The sequence below is a fragment of the Homo sapiens genome, chromosome 4 (assembly GCF_000001405.40).
Source record: "Homo sapiens chromosome 4, GRCh38.p14 Primary Assembly".
Classification (NCBI taxonomy): Eukaryota; Metazoa; Chordata; class Mammalia; order Primates; family Hominidae; genus Homo; species Homo sapiens.
Window position 1 is genome coordinate 174,473,285 of NC_000004.12, and position 5,079 is coordinate 174,478,363.

The following is a 5,079-nucleotide window of genomic DNA, read 5'->3' on the forward strand; positions in this document are numbered from 1 at the left end:
TGTTTCTCCTTGTGTCGGTTTTGGTAAATTGTTTACTTCTAGGTATTTGCTTATTTTATATAAATAATCAAATTGACTCATAAATTTAATAAAATAATTGAACTTTTTTTATTGTCTGTATGACCCATTTTTATTCTTGAAATTATTTATTCATAATTCACCTTTCTTTGCTAATAGTGTGAGATGTTTTACTCTAGTTTCATCTAATTTTGACCCCATCAACAGGGTATTTCTGAGCAAAATAAAAAAAAAGTAACAGCTGTAGTTAATAGTCATTTGATAAATTCTAATCTATTGGTATTGATTTCAGTAAGAAACAAATGGCACTCTCAAACTGGGCAATTTTAAGTTAATTTATTAAAACAATTATTTATAAAGTTATCTGCAGGACTCAGGGAAATAGCAGAAATAGCACAGGACCCTGGGACTAGTAACTGCAGGGAGGTGTTACCACTTCTGGACCCGGAGGAGCAAAGGGGGGAATGATAACTAGAACACAATGTGAGTAGCTGTGCAAATGACTGCCTGATAGATGCTGAGATAACCAAACCAGGAATGAAGTCAAGGAAAAATATCTTGATCTCGCTTTTCTCTAGATCTCAAGTCTCTTGAGAGCCTCCTACTGATTGAACTAAATCAGGTGCTGAAAGGCAAAGGAGTTGCCAGTCTTTAACCTGGAGCTCAAAGCAATGTTAAGAGTGAATCTAGAGGGCAAATCAAGCTATCCAATGTGTTTTGGAAAGCCATTTTGTTATATTTCTTAGCAGTTGAGAAACTCATAGACTCCTAAGAATAGTAAATCATTTTGCAAGAAAGTTGCCTTCCAAATTTTGCTTTCAAAAATTGGAAACAGATACCACCTGATAAATCACTAAAAAAACTTATTTTGAGGACAGATTACTATGTGTTTTTGCAATATAATTTAGAGGGAGCTCAAAGAACTGAGTAGTACTATTACAACAAAACTTTCATTTTCATCGGCTTACTTATGTGAACAATTTTTCTTAAAACTTATTGCTATAATGAGACTAGAATTGATCCTGATCCTTATTTTATCAATAAATAATATTTATCCTTGACTGTATTATTTGAGGGAAAAGCTCCATTCATATTGGTAAGAATGCATTTCTGATACATTTTAATTTCTAATTTAAAATAATTTTTCATAACAATGTTAATATTATAGCTATGCTTCTCCCTGGAATATTACCCCAGTGGCCAGGAAACTGCCTGTGCCTGCTCCTGGGAAACCAGAGCATGGACTTGCCTGACCCAGCCCCCACCTGGCTTTGCCCCTCCACACACCCTGGTAGTGTAGCACCATGGACAGGGTCCTTTGGGCTCTCCATGGCCTCACCCATTGCCCAAGGCACTGGAATACCTCCTTTCGGTAACATAAGGCAAGCACAAATTTCACAGCTACCGCCACTGGTGCTGTTTTGCATGTGCCACGTCGTGGCTGGAAGCCAACTGCCTCCAGTCTTTTACAACATCTGCAGGAACAATCACACAGAGCCCTGGAGAAAGAAAACTTTTGTGTGACCTCGGCCTTCACCATTGCCTGCATCACCCTCGCTAACCAGTAGGTCTTGAGTCTGTCCACATGCCCTGTACATTACTACTACTGCTGACATTTGAAAAAGCCAACACACTAAGGCTATTTATAACTAAGGAAATCTCAGAGTCTACGTCACTGCCCTCCTACCTCCATCAGAGCTGGTGCTGGTGCCCGCTGCTGTGAGACTAGAGGACATGTCACATCACTGAATCTCTTGCAGACACTTCCTAGTACCAGCCTGAAGTGTGGCAGCCCCACTGGGTGGCTAGACCCAGTAGAACAGCAGCATTCACAGTAGTCTCGTTCTCAGAGACTCCTACTCTTAGAGGGAGGGGGAGTGCACCACATTAAGGAACACCCCATGGGACAAAAGAAACAAGACCACAGGCCTTGAGTCCCTGAACTTTCCACTTGTGGGAAGTTTCTTTCAGCAGAGGCACAGGTACAGTTCTGGGCTTAGTGAGGAAAGTCTGTGGCTCTTAACCCAACAGTCAGGCAGCCCTTGTACTCATGAAGCGTCGTGGAGATGGAGAAGGGGACCTCTTCTCCCTCTCATCTACCATTATAGACACAGCTGGGGCAACTCCTACGGGAGCATGGCATGGGTAGATCTGTAGACACCCTTTCTGGAACATTTCAGGACCATTCCTGAACATTTCTGGAGGATTCTTAAAGGAATATTCTCAAAGGAAGAGTGCCATCGAGGCTTGTTTGAAATGTAGAGTCACAACCCCTCTCTACATGGAGCATGAGCCTTCCTGCAGATGAAAAGAGGTGCCTGTCTGATGTGAACAGCTGGAACACTGAGTTAGGGGTGTGATGGGAAGGTGGATCACTTTTCTGCTGGCCTGGAAGCAGAGCTGTGGCAGCTCCCTATCTACCCTTGAAAAGACCTCAGTGCATCTCACTGATAACTTCCCCAGCCACTGCTGTAAAGGCTGGGATCTCTGCCGATACTGGGGTTTGTATTTATCCGCCTGCTTTAGCCATAGCTGGTTTTGACCTGTGGGCACCTCAAACTGGCCAGAAGCCTGAATTGTTCAATCCAGTGAATAAAAAATACTAGGGAAAAAAAAATTTCAGTGCACATCTCTGGGGAATGAGATAAGCTTCATAAGACCCCTGTCATTCCAGCCCAACAGGGGACAACGAACCTGCTCACACACCCAGTACGTCATTATTGCAGCCAGCATCGAAGAAAGCCATCACGCAAAGATTCTCCATAACCAAGGAACTCATACAGAGTCTTCACCACTGAAAGCACTTAGAGCTGAAGCTAGGTGACAATAAACTATAAACATTAAAGTCACATCCTCAAGGGGAAACAAGAGATATAAAAAACCAGTCTAATAAAAAAATAAATTCAAGAATAATAATAAATAGTTTACCCAAATAAGAAGGAACCAAGAAAATAATTCTGGCAATATAAATAAATACAGTTCTATAACACCCCCAAAAGATCACACTAACTCTCCAGCAGTAGATCCAAATCAAAATGAAATATTTGAAATACATGACAAAGAATTAAAAAGGTTAATTATTAAGTTGTTCAAGGAGATACAAGAGAAACAAACATAAAGAAATTAAATCAACATAAAGAAATTAAAACCAACTTAAATTTTAAAAGCCAACATAAAAAATTTTAGAAAATCGGGATATAAATGAAAAATTTTCTAAACAGATACCTATTTTAAAGAAAATCCAATCAGAACTTCTGGAAATGAAAGACACATTTAGGAAACTACAAAATGCAGTGGAAAGTCCTAACGATAGAATAGACCAACTAGAAGAAAGAATTTCAGAGCCTAAAGACAAGGCTTTTGAATTAACCCAATCAGATAAATATAAAGGAGAAAAGAATTAAAAGCAATAATCAAAGTCTCCAAAAAATATGGGATTATATAAATTGGCAAAACCTAAGAAATATAGGTGCTCCTGAGGCTGAAGAAAAAGTTAAAATTTGGAAAACTTATTTGAGGGAATGATTGAGGAAAATTTCTCTGGCCTTGCTAGAAATCTAGACATCCAAATATGAGAAGCAATTTTTTGTTTTTTTTTTTGAGACAGAGTCTTGCTCTGTCACCCAGACTGGAGTGCAGTGGCATGATCTCACTGCAACCTCTGCCTCCCGGGTTCAAGTGATTCTTCTGCCTCAGCCTTCCGAGTAGCTGGGATTATGGGTGCCCACCACCACATGGCAAATTTTTGTATTTTTAGTAGAGACAGGGTTTCACCATGTTGGCCAGGCTGGTCTCGAACTCTTGACCTCAAGTAATCCTCCCACCTTGGCCTCCCAAAGTGCTGGGATTATAGGGCTGATTCACTGTGCCTAGCCCAGAAGCTCAATATTAATGTCAAATGCAAATAGTCTAAATGATCAACTTAAAAGATACAGATTGGTAGAATGGATTCAAAAAGGGCATCACCAAGGCATATAGTCACCAGGTTATCCAATCAATATGGAGGAAAGAATTTTAAGAGTAGTGAGACCAAATATCAAGTAACATATAAAGGAAAACTTATCAGACCAACAGCAGACTTCTCAGCAGAAACCTTATAAGCCATTAGGGACTGGGGTCCTGACTTCAGTCTCCTTAAACAGAAAAAAACTGTCAGTCGAGAATTCTGTATCTAGCAATACTAAGTTGAATAAATAAAGGAGAAATAAAGTCTTTCTTAAACAAGCAAATGCTGAGTGAATTTGTCAACGATAAACCAATTCTACAATAAATGCTAAAAGGGGTTCCAAATCTTGAACCAAAAGGTGTATATACACCAGAATGGAAACTCCTGAAAGCATAACATTCACGGGGCTTATAAAACAATAACACAATTACAAAATCAACACATGGCTGGAAGAATATTTCACATCTCAATATTAATGTCAAATGCAAATGCCCTAAATGATACATTTAAAAGGTAGATTGGCAGAATCGACTTAAAAAAATCAAAGACCAAATATCTGCTATCTTCAGGAGACACAGCTAACATATAAGGATTCTTATAGACTCAAGATAAAGATGTGGATAAAAGTATTTCATGCAAATGGAGACCAAAAGTGAGTGGGAGCAGCTATTATTATATCAGATAAAACAGACTTTAATGCAACAACAGTAAAAAAAGAGAAAGAAGGGCATTATAAATTGATGAAAGGATCAATTCAACAAGAAGATATAACAATCCTAAATATATGTGTATCTAATGCTAGAGCTCCCAGATTCATAAAGCAATTACTAGACCTAAGAAAGGATATACAGCAACACAATAGTGGGGGACTTTAACACTCAACTGACAGCACTAGACAGATCATCAAGGCTGAAAGTCAAAAAAGAAACACTGGACTTAAACTATACTCTAGAACAAATGGACCTAGCAGACATTTACAGAACACTCTACCTAAGAACTACGGAATATACATTCTTCTCATTAGCACACAGAACATTCTCCAAGATAGACCATATGATAGGTCACAAAACAAGTCTCAATAAATTTTAAGAAATAAAAATCATAGGCCAGGCACG

General features: G+C 38.9%; 1 annotated feature.

Annotated features, from left to right (window-relative positions):
* Window positions 1,134–1,428: a silencer, noted in NCBI's record as "tiled region #9212; HepG2 Repressive non-DNase unmatched - State 24:Quies". NCBI's record gives its function as "represses a minimal TATA promoter and a strong SV40 promoter by Sharpr-MPRA in HepG2 cells {active_cell/tissue: HepG2}" and the evidence as "EXISTENCE:reporter gene assay evidence [ECO:0000049][PMID:27701403]".